This window comes from Homo sapiens, chromosome 11 (genome assembly GCF_000001405.40).
Source record: "Homo sapiens chromosome 11, GRCh38.p14 Primary Assembly".
Taxonomy (NCBI): Eukaryota; Metazoa; Chordata; class Mammalia; order Primates; family Hominidae; genus Homo; species Homo sapiens.
The window spans coordinates 107,850,112-107,865,405 of NC_000011.10; the positions used below are offsets into that span (position 1 = coordinate 107,850,112).

The 15,294-nt window shown below is 46.9% G+C and overlaps 1 protein-coding gene and 1 long non-coding RNA gene across 3 annotated transcripts in view, besides 2 other annotated features; one reads left to right on the forward strand and one right to left on the reverse strand.

Annotated features, from left to right (window-relative positions):
* Positions 1-8,676, reverse strand: part of SLC35F2 (solute carrier family 35 member F2) — a 67,797-nt gene extending 59,121 nt beyond the window's left edge. The window contains exon 1 of one of the 2 annotated variants that reach the window (NM_017515.5): positions 8,547-8,676. In NM_017515.5, coding sequence (NP_059985.2) covers positions 8,547-8,656 — 110 coding nt within the window. In that variant the 5' untranslated portion in view covers positions 8,657-8,676. Of the gene's footprint in view, positions 1-8,389; positions 8,469-8,546 lie in introns of those variants that run through there. The other variant, XM_047427146.1, reaches the window with a different exon arrangement.
* Positions 8,202-8,271: an enhancer, noted in NCBI's record as "active region_5475". NCBI's record gives its function as "activates an Ori minimal core promoter by ATAC-STARR-seq in GM12878 lymphoblastoid cells {active_cell/tissue: GM12878}" and the evidence as "EXISTENCE:reporter gene assay evidence [ECO:0000049][PMID:35858748]".
* Positions 8,492-8,801: a silencer, noted in NCBI's record as "silent region_3873". NCBI's record gives its function as "represses an Ori minimal core promoter by ATAC-STARR-seq in GM12878 lymphoblastoid cells {active_cell/tissue: GM12878}" and the evidence as "EXISTENCE:reporter gene assay evidence [ECO:0000049][PMID:35858748]".
* LOC124902746 (uncharacterized) lies at positions 9,119-10,878 on the forward strand. Its single transcript, XR_007062876.1, has 2 exons — positions 9,119-9,543; positions 9,635-10,878. It is a non-coding gene; the product is annotated as an uncharacterized LOC124902746 (long non-coding RNA).
* Positions 10,879-15,294: the final 4,416 nt, after the last annotated feature.

The following is a 15,294-nucleotide window of genomic DNA, read 5'->3' on the forward strand; positions in this document are numbered from 1 at the left end:
AGAAATCAAGGGTGATTCTGTAGTGCCCAAGATTGCTCCATCCTGGGGTGCATCCCCTCCCCTCTACCTAGAGGGACTCAGACCCAAGCCTGGCTATCATCTCGTTCTTCAGCACATAGGGGACATGTATGAGAGTGGTCATCACAGTGATGTTTGTGGAGGCTGGGAGTTGGAAGCTGTCTGGTTGTCTAACACTGGTGGATGGACCACGGAACCACAGAATACTCTGTAGCAGGTAAAAACAATAGACTAAATCAGTGGTTCTCAATTAGGGATGATTTTTGTCCCCGAGAAGACATTTGGCAATGTCTGGAGACACTTTTGAATATCACAACTGGGAGTGGGGGTGAGGGTGCTATACTGGCATTTATTGGGTGGGGCCAGGTATCTACATCTTACAGAACAGCCCCAACAAATAGTCAACTCAAGGCCGGGCACGGTGGCTCACTTCTATAAGCCCAGCACATTGGGAGGCCGAGGCAGGTGGATCACTTGAGGCCAGGAGTTCGAGACCAGCCTGGCCAACATGGTGAAATCCCATCTCTACTAAAGATACAAAAATTAGCCGAACGTGGTGGCAGGTGCCTGTAATCCCAGCTACTCGGGAGGCTGAGGCAAGAGATTCGTTTGAACCAAGAGGGGGAGGCTGCAGTGACCCAAAATCATGCCACTGCACTCCAGCCTGGAATGAGACTCCGTCTCCAAAAAAAAAAAAAAGAATTAGTCAACTCAAAATGTCAAGAAGGCTGAGGTTGATTGGGCACAGTGTCTCACACCTGTAATCCCAGCACTTTGGGAGGTTGAGATGGGTGGATCACCTGAGGTTGGGAATTCGCGACTAGCCTGGCCAACATGGTGAAACCCTGTCTTTAGCTGGGCGCGGTGGCTCACGCCTGTAATCCCAGCACTTTGGGAGGCTAAGGTGGGCGGATCACAAGGTCAGGAGTTCGAGACCAGCCTGGCCAATATGGTGAAACCCCATCTCTACTATAAATACAAAAATTAGCCGGGAGTGGTGGCACGTGCCTGTAGTCCCAGCTACTCAGGAGGCTGAAGCAGGAGAATCTCTTGAACCCGGGAGGCGGAGGTTGCAGTGAGCTGAGATCGCACCACTGTACTCTAGCCGGGGCAACAGAGTGAGATGCTGTCTCAAAAAAAAAAAAAGAAAGAAAGAAACCCTGTCTTTACTAAAAATACAAAAATTAGCCAGGCATGGTGGCAGGCGCCTATAATCCCAGCTACTTGGGAGGCTGAGGCTAGAGAATGGCTTGAACCCCGGAGACGGAGGTTGCAGTGACTGGAGATTGCGCCATTCCACTCCAGCCTGGGTGACAAGAGAGAAACTCCGTCTCAAAAAAAATAAAAATAAAAATAAATTAAAAAAAAAAAAGGCTGAGGTTGAGAAACACACTAGATGAAAAAAACAACATGACTGGGTCACAAACATATAATGCAGAGTGGAAATTTTTTCTAAAAAAAAGGGATGTAATCCTTTATACAATGCCTATTGGAATTAAGGATTCATTCTCAGCCATGCATCCCATATTTTTTGTGAATCTATTGCAAGGTCAGTAATGTAACAATCAGAATATACAATGGCCATAACTAGATATGATTCCTGACTCCTGGAGTCTAGTAGAATGGGCAGATAGTAAATAATTTCATAGTAAAAAGGGGGAAGGGAGAAGAATTTATGGAGACTCGTAGAATCCAGAGTTCCCCAATTCCCCAGGGAACTGCACAAGCCACAAAAGATCCCTAACTTTACATCTTTGTTTAAATAACACTATAAACAATACCCTTCAGCAGGGATACATACCAGCTTGGGATTTATGCTGCATACACAGTGAGAGCTCAATAGATGTCTGTTGATTGGATAAAGTCTGCACAGTTAAGCACAACTAAATGACTCCTTCAAAAATGTCTAGGACTTTACCCTGTGGAAGGCGGAAACCAAAATGAAAGGAGAAAGCACAGGTGTATCCCAGACCTGTTGCTAGACAATAACAAGGAGTGTGGGTGTTGGCCAGGCGTGGTGGCTCAGGCCTGTAATCCCAGCACTTTGGGAGGCCAAGGGAGGTGGATCACTTGAGGCCAGGAGTTCAAGACCAGCTCAGCCAACATGGTGAAACCTCATCTCTGCTAAAAACACAATATTGGCTGGGCACAGTGGCTCACGCCTGTAATCCCAACACTTTGGGAGGCCGAGGCAGGCGAATCACGAGGTGAGGAGTTTGAGATCAGCCTGGCCAACATGGTGAAACCCCGTCTCTACTAAAAATACAAAAAATTAGCTGGGTGTGGTGACAGGCACCTGTAGTCCCAGCTACTCGGGAGGCTGAGGCAGGAGAATCACTTGAACCTGGGAGGCAGAGGTTGCAGTCAGCTGAGATTGTGCTACTGCATTCCAGCTGGAGCAACAGTGCGAGACTCCACCTCAAAAAAAAAAAAAAAATACAAAATACAAAATTAAACTGGCTGGGCGCAGTGGCTCATGCCTGTAATCCCAGCACTTTGGAGGGGGCCGAGATGAGCAGGTCACCTGAGGTCAGGAGTTCAAGACCAGCCTAGCCAACATGGCAAAACCCTGTCTCTACAAAAAATACAAAAATTAGCCAGGCATGGTGGCATGCGCCTGTAATCCCAGCTACTACTAGGGAGGCTGAGGCAGGAGAATCACTTGAACCCAGGAGGCGGAGGCTACAGTGAGCTGAGATTGCACCACTGCACTCCAGCCTGGGCAACAGAACAAGACTCCATCTCAAAAAAAAAAAAAAAAAAATTTAGCCAGGCGTGGTGGCCCATGCTGATAATCCCAGCTACTCAGGAGGCTGAGACAGGAGACTCGCTTGAACTCAGGAGATCATGACACTGCACTCCAGCCTAGGGCTCCATCTCAAAAAAACAAAGTAATGTGGGTGTAGACTGACCACCTATTATCCTTCCCTCCTCCAGCCCATGCCCCCTTCACACCAAGCTACTTGAAGTTCCTTAAGCAAAACACTTTCTGGCACTTTCAAGCCTAGACTACCCTTCCTCACCTAGGCCACCTGGAAAACTCATTCAGGCTTCATAATCACGATCACCTTCCCTCTCAAGCTCCCTAACCCTATCTCACCCTGGTAGACTTGGTCTCTGCCCTTTTTTGTGCCATTGCTGAACCTTGCACTTATCTTTATAGCACTTATCATAACTTTTTATCATAATTTGATGATGAGCTTTCACTAGAGCAGGAACTTAGTCCTATTCGTTATGGCCAAAGAGACAAGTCTGAAGCCTAGAACATTACAGATGTCCAAGGCTTGGTGAATGAAAGAATCAATGAGGCCGGGCGCGGTGGCTCACGCCTGTAATCCCAGCACTTTGGGAGGCAGAGGCGGGAGGATCATGAGGTCAGGAGATCGAGACCATCCTGGCTAACACAGTGAAACCCCGCCTCTACTAAAAATACAAAAAAAATTAGCCGGGCGTGGTGGTGGGCGCCTGTAGTCCCAGCTACTCGGGAGGCTGAGGCAGGAGAATGGCGTGAACCCGGGAGGCGGAGCTTGCAGTGAGCCGAGATCGCGCCACTGCACTCCAGCCTGGGCGACAGAGCGAGACTCCGTCTCAAAAAAAAAAAAAAAAAAAAAAGAAAGAATCAATGAATAAACCATGTCCAGCACTCTGCTACAAAAGGAACATGATAAAACTCATGCCCTTGAAAAGCTTATTTATCTATTTGATGGGAAAAAGATAAATATATAAAATAATAATTAAAGGTTTTTGCTAGAGATATAAAGTTGATGGTTGTTACAAGGAATACGCGTTTTTAAAATATATGAATAGGCCTGGTGCAGTGACTCATGCCTGTGATCCCAAATTTTAGGAGGCCAAGATGGGAGGATTGCTTGAGCCCAGGAGTTCAAGATCAGCCTGAGTGACAAAGCAAGATTTTGTCCCTACAAAAACTAAAATTAAAAATTAAAAACATACATATGAATAAATTAGGATCTATGTGTCAGAATGTAAACTGTCTGACAGTATACAATTAAATAATAATACCAGGTGCAGTGGGCCACTCTTGTAATCCCAACATTTTGGAAAGCCAAGGCAGGTGGATCACTTGAGCCAAAGAGTTTGAGACCAGCCTGGGCAACATGGTGAAACCCTGTCTCTACGGAAAAAAAAAAAAAACTAGTAGTGCGTGGCAGTGCATGCCATAGTCCCAGCCACTCAGGAGGCTGAGGTGGGAGGATCACTTGAGCCACGGAGGTCGAGGCTGCAGTAAGCCATGATCAGCCACTGCACTCCAGCCTGGCCAACAGAGTGAGAGCCTGTCTCAAAAAATGATGATAATAATAATAATAAACAATTAAATAAGAAGTATTCTCAGATACTCCTGGAAGTCTATGGTCTTCTATCACAATATTTTTCACTTGAGTTGACAGTAATAAATCACAAAAGCCAAAATTACACACTCCACTAAGGAATATATGGTTCTCATTATCATGAATGTCTGGCACATGGTAAGTGTTCAATAAACTTTTATTGAATGAGTGATCTGATATTCCTAATCATAGAGAAAAGTTGTCTGTACCCTATGGGGGCAGGTATATTAAGAGCTGGGGTCACTTAGAACATATCCTCCTCATAATGAAAACATAACAAGCTCTATGCCCCAATCTTCTCCCTGTATTTAGTACCCAGTTGCCCAAAAAGCCTCTTCTTGCCCCTTTTTGGTAAAAGGAATAGAAATGAGCTATGTGGTTATAAATCTCTCTCTGTATCTTGCCCATATGGTGATAACACATCATATCCATTCACCAACCTCTTTCTACACTCTCCCACCCTTGGTTCCCTGGCCACAGGTGGGGATTCACAAAGCTACTCAAACTTGGGACATGAGTTTTGACAACAAAGCTTAAAATATTGAGTATTAGGAGTACTGGATATCTGGTAAACCACTCTTTTCTGATTGCTGGGTCTGATAAAGAGAAACTGCAATCCAAAATCCAAGTGCTTGGATGGCTGCCAGAGGTAGGAATGGAAACTTTAATTAACAAAAGAGCCCAGCCAACCAAACAAGAAGCTCAGCCCAAGACCCTTGGAATAAAGACCAATAAAGGGAAGAGTTCAGGGAGGGAGGCAGAATGGAAAGGAAGACTTGTGAACCTTTGTCATCCCTCAGTCATTCACTCATTCATTCATTCATGTGCTAAGGGTTGTGGTAGATATAAAAAAGAAAAAGACACCATTTTTGCTGTTAAAGAACTTCGTCCATGGCCAGGCGTGTGGCTCACACCTGTAATCCCAGCACTTTGGGAGGCCGAGGCGGGCGGATCACCTGAGGTTGGGAGTTCGAGAACAGCCTGACCAACATGGAGAAGCCCCATCTCTACAAAAAATACAAAATTAGCCAGGTGTGGTGGTGCATGCCTGTAATCCCAGCTACTTGGCAGGCTGAGGTAGAAGAAGAGCTTGAACCCGGGAGGCGGAGGTTGCGGTGAGCCGAGATCGCGCCATTGAACTCCAGCCTGGGCAACAACAGTGAAACTCTGTCTAAAAAAAAAAAATGCCCATAACTGCTATTCCACAAGAAAGGAAAAAGCCCTCAAAGAGATACATAAAAAGGACATTCATAGACAAAAGAAATCTCATATTTAGGAGGCTACTAGACTGATTATAAAACATACCCGGATTCCAAAAGTATCAGAACATTAGGAGAGAAAAAAAAAAATCAGGCCAGGCACGGTGGCTTACGCTTATAATCCCAGCACTTTTGGAGGCTGAGGTAGATGGATCACCTGAGGTCAGGAGCTCAAGACCAGCCTGGCCAACATGGTGAAATCCTGTCTGTATTAAAAATTAGCCGGGCATGGTGGCAGGCGCCTGTAATCCTAGCTACTCAGGAGGCTGAGGCAGGAGAATCACTTGAACCCGGGAGGCAGAGGTTGCAGTGAGCCATGATCGTGCCGCTGCACTCCAGCCTGGGCAACAAGAGCAAAACTCTGTCTCAAAAAAAAAAAAAAAAAAGAAGAAGAAGAAAAGAAAAGAAAATCATTGTTAATTCTTATCACATCTTGTTAAACATACATCTTGCCATATCATCTGCCCCAGCCTCAAGGCCACTGGCATCTCCTGAAGCAATCACCAAATGTTCCCATCACCCAAGAATAGAGAGCTAATGGTGACAACTAACCCATATAGAGCACTGAAAGGAGCCAGGCTCTGTCTGCCCTTTCCTGCATAGTAACCTTGTAACAGCACTACAAGGTAGGTACTGTTATTATCTCCATTTTACAAATAAGAAAACTGGAGCACAGGCTGGGCGCGGTGGCTCACGCCTGTAATCCCACTACTTTGGGAGGCGGAGGTGGGTGCATCACTTGAGGTCAGGAGTTCAAGACCAGCCTGGTCAACATGGGGAAACCCCATCTCTACTAAAAGCATGAAAAAATTAGCCTGGCGTGGTGGTATACATCTGTAATCCCAGCTACTTCGGAGGCTGAGGCAGGATAATCGCTTGAACCCGAAAGGTTGAGGTTGCAGTTAGCTGAGATAGAGCCTCTGCACTCAGGCCTGGGTGACAGAATGAGACTCTGTCAGGAAGGAAGGTGACAGAATGAGACTCCGTCAGGAGGGAGGGAGGGAGGGAGAGAAAAGAGGGAGGGAGACTGGAGCACAGAGAAGTTAAGTGACTTGTCCAAGAAGGGAGGGAGGGAGGGAGAGAGGGAGACCGGAGCACAGAGAAGTGACTTGTCCAGGAAGGAAGGAAGGAAGGCAGGAAGGAAGGAAGGGAGGGAGGGAAGGAAGGAAGGGAGGGAGGGAGGGAGGGAAAAGAGGGAAGGAGACTGGAGCACAGAGAAGTTAAGTGACTTGTCCAAGAAGGAAGGGAGGGAGGGAGACTGAAGCACAGAGAAGTGACTTGTCCAGGAAGGAAGGAAGGCAGGAAGGAAGGGAGGGGCGGAGGGAGGGAACTGGAGCACAGAGAACTGATTTGTCCAAGGTCACCCAGCAGAAGGAAGGGAGGAAGGAAGGGAGGAAGGAAGGGAGGGAGGGAGACTGGAGCACAGAGAAGTTAAGTGACTTGTCCAAGACGGACGGACACGGACGGAAGGAAGGAACAAAGAAGGAGGGAGGGAGGGAGGGAGGGAACTGGAGTACAGATAACTGACTTGTGGAAGGAAGGACGGAAGGAAGGAGAGAGGGAACGAAGGAAGGAGAGAGGGAAGGAAGGAAGGAAGGAGAGAGAGGGAAGGAAGGAAGGAGAGAGGGAGAGAGGGAGGGAAGGGAGGGAACTGGAGCACAGAGAACTGACTTGTCCAAGGTCACCCAGCCAGGATTTGAGTCCAGAATGTGAGTGCCCTTAGCCATTACACTGAATTGCCTCCCAGCTGAGAACTTTTAACAAATGTATCAGGACATACACAACTGGATGCTACAAGGTGGTTTTCGGCCAACTTTCCCCTTTAAACACATGCATCAATTTCAAACTATTTATATGATAAAAAATGCTTACACCTTTATCGATCTCGTTTTTAAAATGGTATGGCTTTTCAGGACTATCTTTCACAATCGTTAAAGGGAAATTCGCTTTGTTAATATGAAAAAAAAATCAAATATCTGTTTCATGAGTTGTCAGTGGCCAACGCTGTTTAGACTACGGCTTGAACGCATCACCCCTTAAAGATCATCTTGTGGCCTTGGGCAAATTGCTTAGCCTTCTTTGTTTCTCCAGCGGCAAAGTGGATATAACAATAGTACCATCTCCTAAAGTGGTGAGGATTAGCTGATATTATCCATATAAATTGTTATGCACAGTACCTGACACAGAGCGAGTGCCCAATAAATGTCTTTCACTATTTAGGTCCTGGGTTCTCTCATTTCCAGAGTGCAAGTCCTCCAGCAACCACAGAAACGCTTTCTAGAGTCGCTGCCCACTCCTTAAAAACATTTGTCCCTACTTCGCACAGAGCATAGTGATACCACAAACAGGCTTCCCTGGACCCCAGCCCTGGGGGTGGCTATATCACCTCGCTCAGGCCCAGGAAGAGAGAGCCGGCTCTGGTCTCCCACCCGGCAGCAGCACAAAACTTAACCAGGATTTCTCACTTCGGTCAACTCTTGAATCACCGCGCCCAGTCTGGCTGGCTCGGCAGCAGATGGAATGAGGGCGCCGGCGCCAGGAAGTGGCGCTCACCCACCTGCCCAGCCCGAGGTGGGCACTCCTCCTTCACAGCATCCCCGGGGACCTCGTCCCTCCACCGCGGAACGCCCCAGAGGACCGACCTAATAGTGCCACAGGGTGGGTTTCCCCCCAAATCCTCCAAAATACATCGCCACGATTTCGAAACGGGAGCCGAGGGAGACGCACCAAGTGCTTCCCGACGCCAGGTGAAGCGCACCATACCTGGTGTGCGTGTTGAGCCCCGAACCGAAGTCCGTGCGGCCGCCACCTCTGCCTCCCTGCTGGGGGCCTCAGAGAGTGTGCTCCTTGTCCACGTGCGCGCAGGGCCCGCAGCCGCCCCCACGCCCCAGCGGAGCTGCAGCACGCCCCTTCCACTCACCAGGTGAAGAGTTTGCCTTTTATCCTGCGCAGCAGGCTGGAGAACTCGGCCGCCGCTCCCTCCGCGAGGGGCTCTGGGGCGCCGGGGCCCGCTGGCGAGTCTGCCTCCATCGGCGCCCTTGCGCGTCTCCGGCGCCCAAAACCCCCGAAGTGCCGGGTCCCGGAAGACGGGAGGCGGTGCCTGTGCGGCCGGCTGGGGCTCCGCTCTGGCCCTGCGCTCCCTCCCTCGCTCGCTTGCTCGCGTCCCTCTCGCTCCTCCGCTCGGCTCCTTCAGCGACCAATCATTAACTGTCAAGCCCTAAGGGCCAGACAATACATTTGCAGATTACAACCTGGCACCTCCAGGGTGGCAGGAGGAGAAAGGGCAATTTTTTTTTCGTCTTGGCAGCCGAGCCTTATTGTTGAGCGGCACCCAGTGTGCCTTCAGGTTTTTAGGGTTCCTTGTTTGAAATCACAAGATACAGTGACACGAGGTTATTGTAGGTGATTCCTAAGCTAAGAAGCGGTGAGTGAGCAGTGAGTTAGAAGCAGTGAGTGAGCCGGGACTCTCCTAACTGGAAGGACTGGCTGACCCCTCCTCTTCCCTCCCACTCTCCCTCCCTCTGGCTGATTTGTACAAAATCGCTTCATTAAAATAACTGAAGGCTGGCAGGGCGCGTTGGCTCACACCTGTAATCCCAACGCTTTGGGAGGCCGAGACGGGTGGATCACCTGAGGTCAGGAGTTCGAGACCAGACTGGGAAATATGGTGAAACCCCGTCTCTACTAAAAATACAAAAATTAGCCGGGCGTGGTGACGGGTGCCTGTAGTCCCAGCTACTCGAGAGGCTGAGGCAGGAGAATCGCTTGAACCCAGGAGGCGGCGGTTGTGAGCCAAGATCGCGCCTTTGCACTCCAGCCTGGGCAACAGAGGGAGACGTCGTCTTAAAAAAAAAAAAAAAAAAAAAAAAAACCTGAAGGCGCTTCAGGTCTGTGTCGCTTTTCCCTGCAAAACATGGGTAAGATCCTAAAAAGATCTTGGAAACGTGCCTTTGTGGCGTGGATGGAGGCGTGGCTCATTCCTCGCGGTGTGTTGGTTTTGTCTTTCAGTATTCAGTTGTCTCCGCCGTGCCAGGGAGAGAGACGGTGCCAACCCCCGGCGCTCGGCTTGGATGCCCTGCCCTGGCCACGCCTTCCGAGGCTTCCACGGGCTAAAGAGGGATTAAGAGACACTAAGCTGGGGTCGAAAAGTTCCTGTCACTGACCCCCTGCTTCCGGAAAGGAGGAGATCCAGAAAACAAAAGAAAAGGTGTTGGGACCTTTTATTTTTTCCTGGCCACCTGCTTTGGGGGTTGGGGTGGGTCAAAATAAACGTAGGTTCAAATAGACAGGCTGTGCAGACGAGCTGGCAATTCTGTAAGAGGAGTCTAAGAAAAAAAACAGCTTTCGAAAATGAAATATTACTTCAGGAACCCCAAGTTTAGCAGCTGCAGGAACCTCAAAAAAACCTTTGAAACTAAGAACGTGGTCATCCGTAGAGACTAATTAAGTATTATAATACAAGCATATTATGAAACAAGAGGACATTAGAAGCACATTTAAGATGTCACTTTTGTAAAGTAAACAACTCATTTAACCCTGCATATTGACAACGTTGAATTCTACCTGAGCCCTGTGCTCCTGGAAAGTAATGACAATTAAGAAACCTTCCTAGGCCGGGCGCGGTGGCTGACGCCTGTAATCCCAGTGCTTTGGGAGACCGAAGCGGGCGGATTACTCCTGAGGTCAGGAGTTCGAGACCAGCCTGACCAACATGGCGAAATCCCGTCTCTACTAAAACTACAAAAATTAGCCCGGCGTTTTGGTGTGTGCCTGTAATCCCAGCTACTTGGGAGGCTAAGGCAGGAGAACCACTTGAACCCGGGAGGCAGAGGTTGCAGTGAGCCAAAATCGTGCCACTGCACTTCAGCCTGGGCAACAGAGTAAGACTGTCTCAAAAAAAAAAGAAAGAAAGAGAGAAAGAGAGAAAGAAAGAAAGAGAAAAGAAAAGAAGCCTCCCACCTTTTTTTTTTTAATCAAAGATTTTGGTTGAATTTCTCTTCCTCCCTCATACCTCTGAACTTTCACCCACCCTGACCCTGAGCCGCAGGTAACCCCTCCTTAATAGCCCCTCCTGAGAAGTTGGCCTCAGGGTGAAACATTCTCTAATCTATTATCCAGTGGAGAGCCACCTTTTCATTCCACTTCCCACCAGTAGGGAATAGGCCCCCTCCTACTGCAGGAACCCTTCCCCACAGTCCCCACCCATCCCCATTTGCAATAATCCCTACAAATAAAGTCTCTCCTTAACCAAATTTGATTTTTTATTTGCAATATATACAGTAGTCACCTCCTTACCTGAGGTTTTGATTTCCACGGTTTTAGTTACCACAGCCAATTACCCTCTGAAAATAGGTGACTAGAGTATAGTAAGATATTTTGAGAGAGAGACCACATTCACATAACTTTTATTACAGTATATTGTTATAATTGTTCTATTTTATTATGAGTTGTTAATTTCTTACTGTGCCAATTTTATAAATTAAATTTTATTATAGGTATGTGTAGGAAAAAAGTATATACTGTATAGGGCTAAATACTCTCTGCAGTTTCAGACACCCACCGGGGGTCTTGAAACATAAGGGAGGACTACTATGTTTGATTATGTGAGTATGAAGAAAAATAGAAGATACACGTCAACACCAGTAACTTTAAAAGAGGGTGGGGGGCCAGGCACAGTAGCTCACACCTGTAATCCCAACACTTCAGGAGGCTGAGGCAGGAGGATTGTTTGAGCTCAGGAGTTTCAGACCAGCCTGGGGCTACATAGTGAGACAGTCTTTTAAAACACACACACAGACACACACACACACCCCCCAAAAAAAAACTCCGGCACGTATAATAGAGTCCCCCCGCTTTTATTTTTTTTTTCAGACGGAGTCTCTCTTTGTCAGGCTGGAATACAGTGGTGCGATCTCAGCTCACTGCAACCTCCAACTCCCTGGTTCAAGCAATTCTCCTGCCTCAGCCCCCCAAGTAGATGGGACTACAGGCATGTGCCCATGCCCGGCTAATTCTTGTATTTTTAGTAGAGACAGGAGTTCACCATGTTGGCCAGGTTGGTCTCGATCTCCTGACCTCGTGATTCACCTGCCTCGGCCTCCCAAAGTGCCAGGATTACAGGTGTGAGCCACCACGCCCGCCAATAGAGTCCCTGTTATGTCAAATGTATGCCTTTGTATAAATACATGAAATTAAAAGATGAATTTAGACATTGTAGCAAGCTGAATAATGTCCCCCAAAATATCCAGGTCCTAATCCCTAGAACCTGTGAATGTTGCCTTGAGTGGCAAAATGGACTTTGCAGATGTGATTAAGTTACACACCGTGAGATGGAGAGATTATCCTGTGGGCCATAATGTAATCACAGTGTCATAGGAGGGAAACAGAGGCCAGGCATGGAGGCTCACACCTGTAATCCCAGCACTTTGGAAGGCTGAAGCGGGTGGATCACGAGGTCAGGAGTTCGAGACCAGTTTTGCCACCATGGCGAAACCCCCATCTCTACTAAAAATACAAAAATTATCCAGGCATGGTGGTGCACGCCTGTAATCCCAGCTACTCAGGAGGCTGAGGCAGGAGAATCACTTGAATGCAGGAGGCAGAGGTTGCAGTGAGTTGAGATCGTGCCATTGCACTCCAGCCTGGGTGACATAGCAAGACTGTGTCCCCACCACCACCACCACCAAAAAAAGGAGGGAAACAGAAAGAAAAGAAAGTGATATAATGTAAGCAGAGGTTGAAGTGATGCGCTTTACTCAGGAGGCTGAGGCAGGAGAATCACTTGAACGCGGGAGGCAGAGGTTGCAGTGAGTTGAGATCGTGCCATTGCACTCCAGCCTGGGTGACATAGCAAGACTGTGTCCCCACCACCACCACCACCAAAAAAAGGAGGGAAACAGAAAGAAAAGAAAGTGATATAATGTAAGCAGAGGTTGAAGTGATGCGCTTTGAAGACAGAGAAAGGCTAACACAAGCCAAGGAATACATGCAGCCACCAGAAGCTCAGAGGCTCCAGAAGAAAGTAGCCCTGACACCTTTAGGCTTGACAACCGGCCAGTAAAACTGATTTCAGACTTCTGACCTCCAGAACTGTAAGAGAATAAATCTACGTTGTTTTAAGCCACTAAATTGGTGATTTATTACAGCGGCCATAGGAAACAAATGCAGATGTGTATACACTAATTTATAGAAATCAGGGTACACTGTCAAGTGAAAAAAGCAAATTTTTAGGGTAACTGTATAATACAGTTACATTTTAATAAAAGCTACCAACTAAATATCTTTATATATACATATATTAATACATTGATAGACATATATTTATATTTGCTGTGTTTATTATATAAGCAAGAAAAAGGATTTGGAAGAATACATAACAGGTTATTGATAATGGTTAAATCATGTGAGTGGTTGGGGATGGGGCGGGGAATGAATAAGGGGGTGAGAGATTGCCATATATATCTTCATTTTGTGCTCTTGCTATGAGCATATACTGCCTTTGCAATTTAAAAAATGTACAATTAAGACATTTTTCAATAGGTCACATTAATCTTAATTTAAAACATATTAAGCTCAGCTGGGCGCAGTGGCTCATGCCTGTAATCCCAGCACTTTGAGAGGCCAAGGCAGGTGGATCACCTGAGGTCAGGAGTTCAAGACTAGCCCCACCAACATGGTGAAACCCCATCTCTACTAAATACAAAAAAAGTAGCCTGGCATGGTGGCACATGACTCTAATTCCAGCTACTTGGGCAGTAGCTGAGGCAGGAGAATTCCTTGAACCCAGGAGACAGAGGTTGCAGTGAGCCGAGAGTGTGCCATTGCACTCCAGCCTGGGCAACAAGAGCAAAACTCCGTCTCAAACAAACAAACAAACAAAACATATTAGGCTCAACATGTCACCCCCAGGAGACACTGGGGCCAGGAAATATAATTAACCACTGACATGGATTCTAAAGTTATGGACAAAATTATATGTATTTCTTAAACACAAATCCTCCTCAAAAAGTGGCAATAGTAGTACTGCTCTAGCATTGCTCCAAAATGAGCTCATCCCTGCTGAGGAGTATTGATCAGTCTACCTTATTTTGGTATCAGAATTAAAATACATTGAGTGGATCTGTGGGCACCGATCCACAAGTTTATGTCAATGGAAATTTACTGGAAAAATAAGTTAGGTGTTGAGGATTTGTTTTGCACATAATAACTTTACTTCTTACAATTACAAAATAACAGCTACCACTTATTGAGTGCCTACTGTGTGCCAGATAATTTAGATTTTCTATTATATGAATCAAATCACCCCAAATCATAGAGGCTTCAAACAGCAATCATTTTATTATCCTTTGCGGTTTCTGTGGGTCAGGAATTTAGGAAGGTGTGGGCCAGGCGGTTCTGGCTCGAGATCTCTCTTGTGGTTGCAGTCAGAAGGTAGCTGAACTGAGAAGGCGAGGGGTAGAGTGGGAGGTTTGGGCTGGAGCATGGAGCGCCTGACCAGCATCTCTCTCTCTCTCTCTCTCTCTCTCTCTCTCTCTCTCTCTCTCTCTCTCTCCATTTAGTTTCAGGGGCTTTCCATGTGGTCTCTCTTTGTGGCCTAATTTGCTAATTTGGGCTTCCTCATAGATAGCTAGGTGACTTCAGGATAATTGGTCCGCTTACGTGGCAGCTGGCAGCTGGTTCTTACCCCTAGCAAGTGCCCTAAGAGAAAAAAGCAAGAGCTTATTGTCAATATCCTCCAACCAAGGCCACTGTGAATGTATGTGTAGTTGAACAAGTTGAACTTACTACTCCTTGCTGTGAGAGAGAATTCATGTGTTGGGGGAACCATAGAGTCTCAGTAACAGAGAGTTAGAAAGAACTAAATAACTAAATATATATAGGATATTAGCTTGTTTGAGTGATTCGAAGGAGGGTCTAAGGAAGCAGGAGTTCACTCTAGATTGGAGGCTGTTTGGATGCAATTCTTATTGGTATCTCAAGACATCTATATGGAGGGCAGACTTGGGTGAAGGAAAAACTGTAACTGGTAAAGAACTAGCGTCACTTATTTTGGCAAAAAGCCCAGAGTTGGTATTATACCGGTGGCACAATGACATTGTTTTTGTGCTTAGAGAAGATTATGAGCTAGCCTTGCTTTGTTTTATCATGGTCTCAGGATAATCTCGTCTGAGAATGATATTCTGTTAGATTATGTCCTATAAAAGAATAATATGAAGGCTGGTCATGATGGCTCATGCCTGTAATCCCAGCACTTTCAAAGGGCGAGGCGGGCGGATCACCTGAGGTCAGGAGTTCGAGACCAGCCTGGCCAACATAGCAAAACCCCATCTCTACTAAAAATACAAAAAGCCGGGCATGGTAGCTGCTGGGGAGGCTGAGGCAGGAGAATTGCTTGAACCCAGGGGGCAGAGGTTGCAGTGAGCCAAGATTGCGCCACTGCACTCCAGCCTGGGTGATAGAACGAGACTCCGTCTCAAAAATAATAATAATAATAATAACATGGCTCAGCTATAAGTGCCAGGCCAGTTTTTAGAAAAAAAAAACTGTTTATTTTTCTATTCTTTCTCAGTATCTCCTTTCATGACCTAGCCAAAAAAGTCCTGTAGTCTCATTACCACCATAGTCCCAAACCCACCCAGGCTCAAAGGAAGGGAATGTAGACCCCACCT